This window comes from Homo sapiens, chromosome 19 (assembly GCF_000001405.40).
Source record: "Homo sapiens chromosome 19, GRCh38.p14 Primary Assembly".
NCBI lineage: Eukaryota > Metazoa > Chordata > Mammalia > Primates > Hominidae > Homo > Homo sapiens.
In genome coordinates this window covers 6,062,238-6,077,502 of record NC_000019.10, presented here as the reverse complement: position 1 = coordinate 6,077,502, position 15,265 = coordinate 6,062,238, and the positions used below count along the sequence as shown (strand labels likewise).

The 15,265-nt window shown below is 49.7% G+C and overlaps 1 protein-coding gene, 1 long non-coding RNA gene and 1 pseudogene across 8 annotated transcripts in view, besides 4 other annotated features; 1 reads left to right on the top strand and 2 right to left on the bottom strand.

Moving 5' to 3' along the window:
• RFX2 (regulatory factor X2) overlaps positions 1–15,265 on the top strand; it is a 117,337-nt gene that overhangs the window by 32,998 nt on the left and 69,074 nt on the right. For 2 of the 7 annotated variants that reach the window (XM_047439197.1, XM_047439196.1), the window contains exon 2: positions 5,356–5,498. The exons of the other annotated variants lie outside the window; for them this stretch is intronic. The gene's annotated coding sequence lies outside the window, so the exon portion shown is untranslated. The remainder of the gene's footprint in view (positions 1–5,355; positions 5,499–15,265) is intronic. 7 annotated transcript variants of the gene reach the window in all.
• RFX2-AS1 (RFX2 antisense RNA 1) lies at positions 379–14,905 on the bottom strand. Its single transcript, NR_199041.1, has 2 exons — positions 14,735–14,905; positions 379–483 (listed from the first exon to the last, which is right to left on the bottom strand). It is a non-coding gene; the product is annotated as an RFX2 antisense RNA 1 (long non-coding RNA).
• Positions 2,343–3,136: an enhancer, noted in NCBI's record as "H3K4me1 hESC enhancer chr19:6074378-6075171 (GRCh37/hg19 assembly coordinates)". NCBI's record gives its function as "activates a minimal SCP1, AML or CMV promoter by ChIP-STARR-seq in primed H9 embryonic stem cells {active_cell/tissue: H9 hESC(primed)}" and the evidence as "EXISTENCE:reporter gene assay evidence [ECO:0000049][PMID:30033119]".
• Positions 2,954–3,123: an enhancer, noted in NCBI's record as "experimental_51983 CRE fragment used in MPRA reporter constructs". NCBI's record gives its function as "activates a minimal promoter by MPRAs in K562 erythroleukemia cells, with activity observed for both the introgressed and non-introgressed 19:6074476 variant alleles {active_cell/tissue: K562}" and the evidence as "EXISTENCE:reporter gene assay evidence [ECO:0000049][PMID:34662402]".
• RPL32P37 (ribosomal protein L32 pseudogene 37) lies at positions 3,925–4,735 on the bottom strand (annotated as a pseudogene).
• Positions 11,120–11,621: an enhancer, noted in NCBI's record as "H3K27ac hESC enhancer chr19:6065893-6066394 (GRCh37/hg19 assembly coordinates)". NCBI's record gives its function as "activates a minimal SCP1, AML or CMV promoter by ChIP-STARR-seq in naive H9 embryonic stem cells {active_cell/tissue: H9 hESC(naive)}" and the evidence as "EXISTENCE:reporter gene assay evidence [ECO:0000049][PMID:30033119]".
• Positions 11,311–11,605: an enhancer, noted in NCBI's record as "tiled region #343; HepG2 Activating DNase unmatched - State 1:Tss". NCBI's record gives its function as "activates a minimal TATA promoter and a strong SV40 promoter by Sharpr-MPRA in HepG2 cells {active_cell/tissue: HepG2}" and the evidence as "EXISTENCE:reporter gene assay evidence [ECO:0000049][PMID:27701403]".

Sequence of the window (15,265 nt, the reverse complement as noted above, 5' to 3'; positions counted from 1 at the left end):
GTGTAGGTTTGAACATCTCGTAAGTCTTGAGAAATGCTTGGAGGCCATTTCCTGCAGAGGCACACGCCCCTCTTGGGTGGGCTGGGGGAGGCAGTGGCAGAGCCCAGCCCACCTGCCCCAGCCACCAGTGCTCCCGGGTTTTGCATTCAGCCCCTGGCACACACTCATGGCTAACCCTGGTGCCCTTGCCTGTCTTTGACCCAGCACTGGCGAAGGAATTGGCAAAGCCACCAGGTTAATGATGCAAGCCCCAGAAACTTGCGGCATAGATGAGAAGGCAAATGGCCTCTCCTTTTGGAGAACTAAAGAGATTTAAGGAAGCTTGCTGGCTCACTCCCTCTCACCGGCAAGGATGGCACTAAACACAGTCCGCATCAATCACTGTTTTTGTTATGCGATTTATGAGTTGCTCAGCCGAGAATAAGGTTGCACGTGGTAGGAGGAGTTCTGTGTGTACCGAGGTCTCATGGAAGGACTGGATTTCTAGGGAAGAAAAGGGAAAAGGGAGTTGATGTTAAAATATCATTTCTATAACAGTAATGCAGTAGTGTTCATCTAGAAGGAGAGCTGCCACATTTGGCAAGATGCTGGGAGAGAAACAAGTATTAAGTACTTGGTTAAAATGACAAACCCCACAAATATGCCCTGGAATGAATATAGCTCATAGCAGGAGGCACTCCCTAAAGGGCTTAGCAACATCACAAATAGCGAAGAGTTTTTGAAATCACAAATAGCAAACAGCATAACTGCTTTTAGTTTCAGATATTTAAATCTGCAAAAAATCAGTAAATTATGTGGGTTACGTTATAATGGTGTGAATTACAACGATGACGCTAATGAACATTTATGGGCATTTTCCGTGTGCTGGGCTGGCCATTAAACTCCACACTTTGTAGGACTCCTCTCATTTAACACAACCACCCAACACAGATAGAAGTATTTTCTCCGTTTATGGACAAAGAAATGGAAGTGCAGAAAGATTTAAGTCCCTGGCTGAGGTCACCCAGCTAGAAACTGGAGGACCCAGGAACTGGACCCAGGCACCGGACCCAGGCACCCTCGCCTAGCCTCCTGTTTTAGAGCTAGGATGCACCGTAAGGTAGTTAATGGTATTCCAGTTGATGAACGTTTGTTTCTTATTTATGTATTTATTTATTTTGAGACAGAGTCTCTCTCTGTCACCCAGGCTGGAGTACAGTGGCACCATCTCGGCTCACTGCAACCTCAGCCTCCCGGGTTCAGGCGATTCTCCTGCCTCAGCCTCCCAAGTAGCTGGGATTACAGGCATGCACCACCACGCATGGCTAATTTTTGTATTATTTTTTAGTAGAGATGGGGTTTCGCCATGTTGGCCAGGCTGCTCTCGAACTCATGACCTCAAGTGATCTGCCCACCTTGGCCTCCCAAAATGTGCTGGGATTACAGGCATGAGCCACCGCCCCCAACCTCGTTTCTAATTTTTTGTGAACACCAAGCTCCGAAAGCCAAGTAAAGGGGTGACGCTGTGTATTTCAGAGCTCGATATTCCCTCTGCTTTCTTCCTCTCCTCTGTCCCCTATGCCAGATCCTCCAACTGTTCATGACCTTTGAACTTGAGAAGGGACCTCTTTTCTGCTTTATCTACACCTGCTTTCCTGGTGATCTCACCGAGGTACAAGAGTTGAAATGCATCTTAGAACCTCCAGTGTCCTAGTGTCTGCAGCCTGGCTCACTCCCCGAATCCTGGACTTGTGTACCTAGCTGCCTAGGTGGCAGCTGCATGTGGGTGTCATCTGATGGGCATCTGAGGCTTCTGTCACCCAAAACTGGGTGCCTGATTCGACCTCACACTTGTCTCTCCCCAGACCACGGGCTTCCCCAGCTCAGCACCGGGCAGCTCCATTCTCTAGGTGCTCAGGCCAGCCCCAAGCCTTAAGTCAGCCTCGACTCCTCTCTTTCTTTCACCCTTTATGTCAAACCCGTCAGCAAACCTGGCTGGCTCTGTCTTCAGGTGTCTCCCAAATGAGAGCACTGCTATCACGTAAGTCTTTGTCACCTCTGACCTGGTTGTCCAGCCCTGACGTTTGCTTCCATTGACCGTTGATACTTCCAAAATATCTGTCAGATTGTGTCCCTGTGCCCTAAACCTTCCAGTAGCTTCCCAGCACACTCAGAGCGAAAGCCAAACACTCCACTGTGGCCTCCTTGTGTCTCTAAGTCCATCTTCTCCTCCTCCTCCTCCTCCTCCTCCACCTTCTCCTCCTCTTCTTTCTCCTCTTCCTCCTTCTCCTCCTGTCTTAATCTGTTTGGGCTGTTTCAGCAAAAGGCCATAGACTGGGTGGCTGTAAACAACAGACACACATCTCTCAGCCCTGGAGGTGGGAAGTCTGAGAAGAGGGTGCCAGCAGGGTCAGGTTCTGGTGAGGGCTTCCCTCTGGGATGCAGATGGCTGTCTTCTTGCTGTGTCCTCACATCACATGGTGGGAAGCCAGAGAGAGCTCTCTGGGGTCCCTTCCATAAGGGAGGGCATGATCCCACCCTCATGACCTAATCACCTCCCAAAGGCCCCACCTCCTAAAGCTACTGCCTTGGGGTGAGGAGTTCAGCATAGGAATTTAAGGGGACACAACATTCAACCCCCAGCATTCCCCCAGCTCCCTCTGGTGGCCTCCTCACGTGACCCGTGTGACCCCACATGTCCCGTGTGCCTCAGCCTTGCCGAGCACCATCCCTGGCAGAGCCTTCTCAGCGGCGACACTTTCCTCACCTCACTCTGCCTCTGTCCTGTCACTGCCCCAGGTCACCTTGTTGCCCCTGGCCCATGCCGCACTCCACTTGTGCATTTGAGTGTATTTTTCTTCAGAGCATTTGTCACCTCCTGCTGTTCTGTGTCCATGGTGTCGTCTGTCTCTCCCTGAGGGGTCAGCCCCACATGGTCAGGGACTCAATCTGTTTCATTCCCTGCTGTGTCCTCAGCACTTGAAGCCGGCACATGGCAGATGCTCAGACTGTGTTTGTTGAATGAATGAACGATGGCTGAGTGTCCAGGCTCTGAGGGAGTGTGTTATGGGCACCCTTCAAGCCCCAGCCCCTGTACCCAGGGCACTGTGTGGGGTGAGGAGATGCACCGGCACAGGCCGGGTGCTAAGAGGAAGGTGGAAAGGTTCTAGCCCACCTTCTCTTCTCGTTGACTTGAGGTTAGGAAGGGGCTAGCTTGGGATGAGAGGAGGAGCTTCCTCCACACTGTGGCATCTGTACCCCGCCTGATGTTCCACCTGAACTCCTGCCACAAGCTCCAGATCTGTTCCTGTACCGCACCCCCACCCCTGCTACAAAACCCCGGCTCTCTGTTTGCCCACCTGGTCCGCCGCTTTGGGCAGAGCTGCCCTTCATTCATTTTCCATCTTCCCGAGGGCTGACCTTGGCTGCTGTGGGTCATTAGTGATGAGGCCCAGAACCTCAGCTGGGGCAGAACGAGTTCCTGCTACCCAGGGCCGGCCTGTCTGGGGGCTGCCTAGAAGTCGCCCTGTGGTCCTCTACAGTCATTCCTGTGTGAGGACGAGACACACACTTTCCACTTGCTGGAGAGGAGGGTCTGGGTGGCTTTTTATTGGTGCATTCACCCTCTCAGATACTTCCTGATCAGTATGAGCTGGGTAAACAGCCAATTCAGATGGCTCAGACTCCCGGAAGAGGAGCGCTTAGCCCAAATTACTGGTATTAGCCGTCCGCATTCAACCTCATCTTAACCATGAAATTTGCACGGTAAAAAAGAGAATTTGACTTACACAGAAATGCAACTGTGTCTTCATCGTTCCACTCTACAGTAAGCTTCAGAGGGCTTTCATCCATTCAGCCTTCCTTCTTTCCATCTTTAATTGTTTTGAAATTCCATTTGGATGGAAATATTTCAAATATTTATTTTTTGTTTTTATATATCTTTTTGCAGTTTTTATGGTTTTATTTAAACACAAAACATGCACATGAGCCGTCTACTCATTTTCTTCACTGCGCAGCCTGGCATTGGGGTTGGTGACTCTGACGGCAGCTGGGCGGCCCTTTCCACGATGGTTTTGTTTCTTGGAGGAAACACTGTGAGCGATCTCAGCACAGGGAGATTTGTTGCACATCAGCACTTCCAGCTCCTTGACGCTGGGGACCAGGAACTTCCGGAAGCCACTGGGCAGCATGTGCTTTGTTTTTTGTTGCTCCCATGACCAGTGTTGGGCATCAAGATCTGGCCCTTGCAGGCGCGGTGGCTCATGTCTGTAATCCCAGCACTTTGGGAGGCTGAGGAGGGTGGATCACCTGAGGTCAGGAGTTTGAGACCAGCCTGGCCAACATGGTGAAACCCCGTCTCTAATAAAAATACAAAAACTAGCCAGGCATGGTGGTGGGAGCCTGTAATCCCAGCTACTCTGGAGGCTGAGGCATGAGAATTGCTTCAACCCGGAAGGCGGAGGTTGCAGTGAGCTGAGATCGCACCACTGCACTGCAGCCTGCACAACAGAGTGAGACTCTGTCTCAAAAAAGAAAAAAAAATATCTGGTCCTTGAACCTTCTGCAAACCCTATTGTCAATACCTCTGGGTTTCCTCCAGTTACACTTAATTTTGACATGTTGGTCTGACTGGTGCCAGATGAACTCCTTGGTTCTCTTTTTGACGATCTTGGGCTTCACGAGGGGTCTGAGGGCGGCCATGATGCTGAGGAGGAGACAGCTGCCACCTCCGTAGGCAGCACTGAAGAGAGAGGGGCCTTTTTTTTCTCTTTTTTCTTTGTTATGTCCTTGGAAGGAAGACTTCATGTTTCTTTTTTGAGAGACAGGATCTCTCTCTGTCGCCCAGGCTGGAGTGCAGTGGTATAATCATTGCTCACTGCATCCTCCACCTCCTGGCCTCAAGCAGTCCTCCTGCCTCAGCCTCCTGAGTAGCTGGGACCGCAGGCACACCCACCTTACCCGAATAATTTTTAATTTTTTTTCTCTAGAGACGAGGTCTCGCTTTGTTACCCAGGCTGTTCTCAAACTCCTGGCCTCAGGCAATTCTCCCACCTCAGCCTCTCAGAGCGCTGGGATTACAGACATGAGCCACTGCTCCTGGCCCAAATATTTATCTTTTAAAATGTATGCAGAAGTGAAACATGCTTTCCAAGAGCAGCAACAGGCAGGGTCACCCAGCACCCAGGTGGATACTTGGGCCGCCAAGGCTTCTGGAAGCCAGGACAAATGGAAAGAATATTGGAACATGGAAAGGTCTGAAAGGTGGCAATTTGTCCAAATCTACAGTTGAATCAGAAGAGAAGCGGTGGGTCAGGAAGAGGGTGATTTGAGTTCTGTTTCATCAGACTCATCTCTGTTTCTCTTTCCATCTCTCAGGCGGAGTTAGAACATTCCATTTTTTTATCCAAAATTATCTTTTGCTCGGATTTGGGAACTGACTTAATACGGAGCTGGGAATGGAGACACCAAAAACAGAACCAGACAAAGCTGAGGGTTTGTTCTCGCCCCTCCTGGACAGCGTGAGTTGCTCGCTGCTTTCAGGCCCTGTCTGAAGTCATCCCCAACCCCACACCGGGAGAAAATGTTTCCTGAGAAAAATGAAAACCCCTCTCAAAACTTGATGGAATAGGAAAGCCATTTAAAATATTTTACAGGTTTTAAGGTGCCTTTTTACATTTTAAAAATAACATTTCCCCTCAAGCTTTTGTATTAAATTGCCTTTCTAAAACAGAATTGATTTTAGTGTATCTTCTTAGAATTAATTGGGACTAATTTAGTTTAAAAACCTAAAATACCTCCAACATTTCCCTCTTTGGGTTTAATTCTAATAATGAGTTTAACAAAAAGACCCTTTTGCTGCATCTTCTCAGCGCACACTGAGGTTTTGCTTTGGGGTTGAAACTTTCATGGGGACAGAAATAGAATGTCCTTTTGTCGTTCTCATTGGGTTGGATGGTGGCATTTGAGACAAGCAAAGAGATGACGGATGGAATAAATATTTCTAATTTTGTCTTTCTTCGCTTCATTTTCATTTCTTCAGAGATCCCTGGGTCTTGCTGAGGGGATCTCTGACTTGGCTTGATTTTCTGTCCCGGGCCAATTGAGATATGTCTGTGCCTCAAAGATAGACGATCACTTAAAAGTACCGACAGGATCTTTCCCTCCCAAAGACAGGCGAGACCTCCTCCCGTCAGGCTGAGTCCATTCCTTGTCTGGAGCCAGGGAGCTCTGCTTCCCAAACTCTCACAGCAAGATTCCTGGCCTCACTCATTTGTCTTGCATTAAATTTCCTTGCAATCTTGCATAATTCGAGCATGACTTAGCAAGAAATGCATTTTTAATATGTGACTCTAACACTTTCTTATTTAAGGATGCATGTTTGTACGTTGACATAGCAAGAAAAATAGGTATATTAAAACTCATTTCTAATAATACTCGAGTGTGGAAAGATTAGCCATTTGGCAAATTTGAAAAGAGGTATGGAGTAACCATAAGGAAAGCAGTGAGGGCCAGGCACGGGGGCTCACGCCTGCAGTCCCACACTTTGGGAGGCTGAGGTGGGAAGACTGCTTGAGGCCAAGAGTTCAGGACCAGCCTGGACAACATAGTAGGACCTTGCTACTACAATTTGTTTGTTTGTTTGTTTTAAGTAGCCAGGCGTGGTGGTGTGCACCTGTAGTCCTAGCTACATGGGAGGCTAAGGCAGGACAATCACTGGGCTGAGGGCCCAGGAGTTTGAGGCTGCAGTGAGCTATGATCCAACCACTGTACTCCAGCCTGGGTGACAGAGCAAGACCCTGTGTCTAGAAAAGAAAAAGAAAGCAGTGAAAAAGGCAAATCATGTGCATAAACCTGAGGAGTGGGGCTTCTGTCAGGCATTGAGGTGGGACCATGGGGTGGGGGCAAGTATTGGTCACATGGAGCCCATATGTGACTATGAACCCAGGGTCTGCTGGAGGCTCTGATGTGAGGTCTGTGGACCTAGGTCATCATACTTTATACCCAGGCCCTATCGTGTGGCTTCAAGCCCGTCCACCCTGCTGAGAGTGGAGGCCCCCAGCAGCCAGCTATTGAGGCTGGCGAGGAGTAAACACAGGGATTCCATGGATGAAGAATGGGACTGGGGACCAGGACCCCCCTCCAGAAGGACTATGACTTGGTGTCACCTTCCAGGGTGGACACTCTGTCTTCTCTCCTGTACTGGTGGATGCATATCCATGCACCTAGCCCTGGCCAAGCCCACCTGTGTTCTGCAGGACATCCCATTCCATCCCATCCACATCCCATCCCATCCCATCCCATCCCATCCCATCCCATCCCATCCACATCCCATCCCATCCCATCCCATCCCATTCACATCCCATCCCATCCACATCCCATCCCATCCCATCCACATCCCATCCCATCCCATCCCATCCCATCCCATCCACATCCCATCCCATCCCATCCACATCCCATCCCATCCCATCCCATCCCATCCCATCCCATCCTATCCACATCCCATCCCATCCCATCCACATCCCATCCCATCCCATCCATGAAAGAACATCCACTTGCAAGTCTCCCTTCTTTCTCCTATCCCAGTTCCCTCCTGGTAGGTCCTACCTGCTATTATTTCTTTCATTTTCAGAAACCCGCTCTCAGTTTCCTCTTCCAGCTGCCTCCCCATTCCTCTTCCTATCTTTCTAGCAAAAATTCCTCAAAAGAGCCATCTGGTCCTCCTGTCTCCAGTTCTGCTCCACTTGGGGCTCTCTTGAACCTGCTCCAACCTCTGTGGCTTTTGCACACACTTTTCCCCTGGAGCTCCTCTGTCACAATCACTGGTGACCTCCACTTTGCTGATTCCAGTGATCACCACTCAGCCCCAGAGTCACTTGGTTCTCAGGACACCACTTGCTTATACTTCTTTGGCCTCTTTTCAGGCTCCTGCTTCTTTGGGATCTCTAAATGGTAGACAGCCCCAGAACTCAGCCCTAGGCCTCTTCTCTCTGCTCTTCCTTGGTGAGCCCAGATAGTCTTATGGTTTTAACTAGGTCATTTATACACTGATGACTCCAGCCTACATCCTGTATACACTGGTGGCTCTAGCTCATGTTCTCTATACACTGATGGCTCCAGCCATGTCATCTATACACTGATGGCCCCATCCCATGTTCTCTATACACTGATGGCTTCAGCCCACATCCTCTAGACACTGGTGGCTCTAGGTCATGTCCCCTACACACTGATGGTTCCAGCTATGTTATCTATACATTGATGGCTCTAGTTCATATATTCTATACACTGATGGCTCCAGCCTGCATTCTCTATACACTGATGGCTCCAGCTCACCCCTCAGCCTGAGACTTATGTAATCTGCCTGCTTTCTCAGCATCTCAACCTGGGTGTCTAGGAGCCTCTCACACTTTACACCTTCAGAACTCAACTCCCAAGTGCTCTCCAGGCCTTTTTCTTGGGTAATTTTCCTGACCTCATCCTTTTAGTTGCCAAAAACCTTGGAGGTACCCTTGACCCGTCAGCAGATCTGGCTGACTCTACCTCCTATGTTTATCCAGAGTCTGACGGCTTTGCCCCTCCATGGCTCACAGCCAGGCCCCCCTCCCTTGCCCAGATTATCACATTAGCCTCCAGATTGCTCTCTCTGCTCCCACCCTTTTCCTTCTTCCCCTATTCTCAACCCAGCAGCCAGAGGGGCCTGGTTAAAATGCAAGTCAAACCAGGCCATTCCTGGGCTCAAACCTTGTGATGGCTTCCATTTACCCCAAGCAAAAGCCAGAGCCCCTACAATGGCCTGTGTGGGCCTTTCTCCTTGCCTTCTGGTTCACTCAGCTCCAGTTTCAAGCCAGGCATTGTCCCACCTCGGGGCCTTTGTACTGGCTTTTCCCTCCATTAGGAACGCTCTTCCCCAGGATATCTGGACAGCTCCGTCCCACACCTTCCTCATCTCTTTAATGAGCCCACCCAGGGAAGCATTTGACAACGCTTTAAAAATTGCAACCCCTTCCTATCCCAGCACTCCTTCTGTCTGCTTCCTTTTCCCCCTGGTACTTGTCACCATATGATATAGGGTGTCATCTGACGTACGACATATTTTTCTCACTTACCTTGTTTACTGTCCATATGCTCCTATCCTCCCGCATGGTCTAGAATAGAAACTCCATGAGGGCAGGGAATTGTGTTTTGATGACTGGTCAATGCCAGGCCCATGCTATGGATCCAATAAATATTTTATTGAAATCAATGAATGACACAGGATCTCTGTTACTCATCCTTCTGGACATGGGGTTTGGAGTCCTCACAGCCGCACCTCAATGCCTCCCTTGGGATGCAGCATCCAGGCAGAACCCAGCCGTGTCCCCTAAGCAAAGCCTCCCATGGCACCAGCTGCTGGTGATTTGACCTCCAGGACTAGCATTCAAGGTTGTCACCACATCACCACTTAGCCATACATTAACAGCCCAAGAGTCTGGCTTCAAATTCCTCATCTCCCTGCAACACAGATTCAAATTCTAACAGTATAGAATCTGTCTTCCTTTCTTCTCAGGGAGGCATGTCTATTCCATTCCTATTCTAGGAATGACTCCTGGATGATATCTTAAAAAAACAGTTTCTGTGCACTGACTGTGTCTGTCTCAAAGGGCAAACCTCCGCTGAGAGCTCCTTGAAAGGTATGCTTGGTCATGCACAAATCTATCAGCATTGTGTGCTTTTATCATCCAAAATGTTGACCCATCGAGGCTGCAGCTACATGTTGCTCATTCTATCAAAATGTTTTAAGATCCTTGGCTGGGCCCACCAAAAACAAGAGCACTGCTTAGAGCTCTGTGTTCCCCTTGAAAGGTGGTGGTGCCACTTCACCCTCTCCTGGTCCCAAAGCCTCAGAGAAGCCATGCTCAGCCTGAACTGCTCCAGGCAGAACAAAAGCTGCACTAGCTTCAGTTTAGCCCTTTTCTTTTCCCCCTTCATGGGTCGAGATTGCCCAACCATGTGCCTCCTCTTTCCGGAGATATGTGTCCCTTGTGTGTCCTGCCATCTGGGGGCATCTGATGTGGCCTGGCTTCCTCTTAGAAAAGTCTTCCTCTCTCCGGGTAGGGAGGGAAGAGCCGGCGCAGTGATGTCAAAGATATACTGTAAGTCCCTCCCGGCAAAGCCCCACAAGGCATTTCTGACGCTGAGTCAGTGGTTCCCTTTGCACTTGTTCCATACGTACATGATATTTCCAAAAGTCGTTTTAATTTGGTATCAACTCCTCTGTTTTCACACTTTTTTCCAAATAGCTTAATCCATGATTCATTTTACTTCGCCCAGAAAACACTTGTGCAGCTATGAACTCTCCCACATTGTTTGTTTGATGATAAATAGATTCTTTCCTCTTGGAGAAAAGGGCACTTTCTCCTCCCAGTACTAGGAAGGATTGAAATCCCTCCTGTGATGCCCTCTTACCTCAGAGAGAGTTGTTCCTCCTTGGGTTTTGTTATTTCAGAACAAATATGGTAAACTGTTTTCCCCTCAGTTACTATAGAGAAGAGATTATTTGCCTTTCTCTTAGGGCTTCTGAAAATAATAGATTACATATTTGAGAGGGTTTTTTTTAGATCTGGTTAATGTGAGATAGAGGGGGTTGCTCCGGGATGACATTGTTTGGTTTGGGAAGTATTCTCCCGGTTGCCCAGCAACAGGCTCTTGGAAACGGGAGTGGACTGCGTTGCCCCTGGCAACCGTTGTTACTTAGCAAACAATGAGGGCCGGGCAAACAGTGCCAAGACTGCGGACTCCAGGTTTTAATTGAACATCTGCATATATTTTTCTCTGATTAAATTTGAGTTTGATTTGCCACAACAGGCAGACATGGATCCACTCGGGATCTGCTTGAAAGAACCAATATTGTAATGTTGACTCCCAGGCTGCACAAACGCAGAGGCCCCATTGAAACAAACTTCTGGCCATTCGAATATGTCCTAGACTGCTCTCAACTGGAGACTTATTTTAGTCTTAAGTGGAATTTCTTTTTTGATCTAATTCCTGGTGTTCAGAAAATCATTACTTGTCCAACCTACTACCGTACATCACTGATAAATCCGCAATTTCTGGAGCGCTTTTCAGCACGATGCCTTCATTTCTGCTGCCTAAGAATTTCAGAAGAGCAAAGAGTTGAGCCCTGGCTGGCTCACATGTAGAGACATTCACAGATAGGGTTGGCTGAGGGTGGAAATTGGACCCAGCACCTTCTGGTTTCATGTGCTCAATGTTCCTGTTAAGAAGTTGGGTCCACCCGTGGCCCTCAGTGGGATGTGTATGTTATGTTTATTAAGAGAGGTCGCACGTTCCCACTAACAAAGTGCCCTGTTGATGGGCACTTTGCAGCCACAGGTTGGATTTTGATCAAAACAGCCTCACTCCCCCACCTCCTCCGCTGGCAAGCCAGAGATAGCGATTGTTGACAAGGGTTTGTTGCTTAGGTAAACACCACCCCTGAACTTCATTCAGAGCGGGTGACACATTTCTTCCCCTCCTCCCAGCCCCGCCCCCAGCCCCCGCCCCCACTGCCAGGGCTATAAATTCAGAACTGTTAGCCAAGACAGGTTTTTGGTGAAGACTTTATTCTTCCTCATTCATCTCGAGTGCAATCTGACTAATGCAGCAACAGCCGCAAAAGTGCCGCCTGTAACAGACACTCCAGCCCCTCACTAAAACAGCTCCTGTGGTTCCCGTGGTGAGACTCGCTTTAGTTGTATGGATTTTTTTTAAGGACGATTCACTTTGTTGCTGAATGCCCCCAAGAAAATGTTCATTGCACGTTTGTTACCGGCATTTCAGCTAATCTTAGGACTATTTAAAGTATCTAAACAAATTTCCCAACTTTCTTTTGCAGCAGAAACTTATAATGGAATGTCATTTGTGTTTTTTTTGGAGACAGAGTCTCGTTCTGTCGCCCAGGAAGCTCCGCCTCCCGGGTTCACGCCATTCTTCCGCCTCAGCCTCCCGAGTAGCTGGGACTACAGGCGCCCGCCACCGCACCCGGCTAATTTTTTTGTATTTGTAGTAGAGACGGGGTTTCACCGTGTTAGCCAGGATGGTCTCGATCTTCTGACCTCATGATCCACCTGCCTCGGCCTCCCAAAGTGCTGGGATTACAGGCATAAGCCACCGTGCCCGGCCTTTTTTTCTTAAAAAGGCAAGCTGATTAGCCATCAGCCTTATTAGATGTGATAATTAGGATCCAATGGCTGCGAGTGTTGTTGGAATGAAAATGAATAAGGTCTGACTTACACAAAGACTCCCCCAAAGATTAAAATACATTATTTGTCCTGCAACCTGTTGTAGGATAGTGGTAGAAGACCACTATATACTTAAAAAGATAAATCCTCCCAAAGAAATGCTGTTCTACCTTCTACAATATTATTTTCTGCCCAGTCCCCAGTTTAAGTAAGTCATTTTTCAGGAATTAGAGCCTCATTTAAAATTTTTTTTAAATTTATCATTTTCTTATTTCCCATGGAAGTATTTTCCCATATATCAGGCTTTGCAATTTGGGCAAACCACTTAACATCTTTAGGTAAGTTTCTTCATCTGTTTGATGAAAGAGCTGGGTTAGGTGGTTTTTAAAGGGGCCTCTCCATGCTGTGGTTTTAGATGGAAATTCTTGAATTTGAACTAGGCTCTTTCTCCGCTTCTTAAATTCCAGAATCAAATCACGACTGGAGGGGAGGTAGGAGGTAGATTGAAAAGGTCCCCTATGTGATGTTGGTGGGATCCAGAAAGCCAGCCTCCTCCTGGCCAGAATCAGTCATGGAGATGTGGAAAGAACATGCACTGCCTGTTGCCCTGCCCTCACTGGCTGTCTCTAGAGATGGCTGTCAGGAGGAAGGGTCACACAGGCAGGACGAGACCCCATCCCCAGGTGGGCACAGGTGCCCAGTGGGCGTGCTGCCGGGTCAGGTCACCAGGCTGAGAAAGCAGGAGATGCTACTGCTGAGGAACTGTCACTTGTCATTTCAAGGTCCACTCCTCCACCCTCTGGCAGCATGAGTCGCTCTGAAAGATTTTGAAGCTGGGACAGGAGAGGGTGAGTGAGGTGAGGCCTCCGCATGCCAGGTTTTCACTGGCACATTCCCCATCTTCATCTTGACCATCAGCAGCTGCACTGCAGCCCTGCTCATGGTCAGAAAGGGAGAGAAACGTGAGAGGGAAAGAAAGGCTGGTAAGAGAAGGAGAACACAAAAGCATGATGCCTTAGGAAGCCGCTTCCAAGAATCCTGGGACAGGCCCCTGTGCTCAGCTGAAGACGGGAGCTGGAGGCCAACATGGTGAAGGTGGCTAGAACAGGTGAGCAGCCCGGAGCAGGCGGGCTGCTCATTCTCTTGTTCATTGCAAAACACGTCTTGAGCATCTTTGCAGGCAATGTGCTACGTAGGGTCTGGGGTTGGGGTGAGGGATCTGTGAGGGGGCTGCTGAGATGACATAGATCCAGACTTTGTTTTCTCAAGAAGGGCTGGCTGGCCAAGAAGCCAGATGTGAACAGCTGCATGACATGAAGTAATCTGAGGGGACAAGCACGGAGAGTGGTTTGGTGAATCTGGAAATGCTGTGTGGAGTAAAGGTGTGGCCTTAGACGTGTGGTTCTCCATGGGGGTGGTCCTGCCCCCAGGGGACACTGGGCGATGTCTGGAGACATTTGTGGCTGTCAGACAGGGGTCGGGGGGTTTCCTGGCATGGAGTGGGTGGAGGCCAGGGATGCTGCCCAGCACCCTGCGGTGCCCAGGACGGCCCCACCCCAGAGTGTATTCCTGCCCCTCATATCCGCATTGCTGAGGTCAGGAAAGCCTGTATGACATGACAAGCTGACTGGAGAGAGGGTTTCCCCACTGCTCATCACTTGCCTGGGATCCCCTTTGGAGCTGCTGGCTGCTGTCTCTCTGCCTCCCTCCTTCTTCAACGCAGCAGTCACTTTAATCTTAGCTGTCATGGGCGGGTGGACTTTGAGGGACAGAGGGCTGCCCAGCCTGCCTGGCCCTGCTGGAGGGGTCTTGTCCATCCCCACCCTGGCAGGTGCATGGACCCCATCCTCACCCTCCCTGCGTTGTGTGCAGGAGACACCAGTGCCAGCCTCCGGTGGCCCTCCATGCACTGCAGCCACCTTGTCACTGCGAGTCTGGACCGCTGTGTGCCATGCTGGCCTCCCTCGATTCTGCAGACCTTAGACTTGCAGGCAGAGGCTAGCTGATCAGTGAAGGGCTGGCGCTCAGGCCTGGGGGTCTGGCAGGCGTAGGCTCCAATTCCGTTGGAATCAGAGGGTCCTTGGGGGTTGTGTGGACATCTCATTTAAACACTCCATCCGGAATCAGAGGAAGCCCGGCTTTCCCCACAGAGCAGGCGCCAGGGGAGAGTTTCAAACCAAGTAGCTGGATGCATGAGGGAGAAGGCGGCCTAGGAGCAAGAGCGAGAGCGGCAGGACAGGAGGGATACGAGACACAGCAGCTCACGGGAGGGGATGTGGGTGACCCCAGCAAGGGCCAGGCACCAGAAAAGGACAGACAGGTGACATTGGTCTCTGGAAGGGGAGGGAAAGGACGAGCAGATATTGAATATGCGCGACTGGCCAGGGAGCGACCCCCAGATCTTTACATTCTGAAAAACCCACTGCTTTAAACGCACAGGGAACTGCTTGTGGGGATAGACAGAGGGAACGATCATTCTAAGTCACGCTGATTTACCTTTTCCTCCTGGTTACTGAGAATGAATGAAGAGCACTTACTTCTCAACTGGAACCACAGAGGGCTGGAGAAATGTCCAAGTCCAGTTCGAGCTCATACAGTCACTCCCCACGGGGACTGTATCAGTTCATGATAGCTCCAATAGCATCAACTAAATTCTAGAAACTTCTAAAGCAAAAGCTAAGCTTGTGTTGTTATTTGGAGTTCTCTTTGGCATGGGGTTGGGGAAGCGATTTATATACAGAAAAGAGACGGAAGCTCCACGTAGGTCGGGAAGCTGTGGCTCCGGAGGCTCTAGTCATAAAAACATGTGCTTCCTCCTCCTAAAGGAGTGACTTAGCCAAACCCAAGCCAAAGCCAGTTCCAGTCTAGCCTGCCTCTTCCTGCTTTGTGACCTTCAGCTCATGGCTCGCCCTTTCTGAGCCTCAGTTGCGTGTGTGTTGTGTCTAGAGCAGAGGTGATGTGGTCACGGCTTCCTCAGAGTCAGTCAGCCCCCACGTATACCAGCTTTGCCCGCAGTCTGGGGCTCGGTCTGGCCACCAGCTACTGCCGCTGCTGTTGTCCTTGGGGTT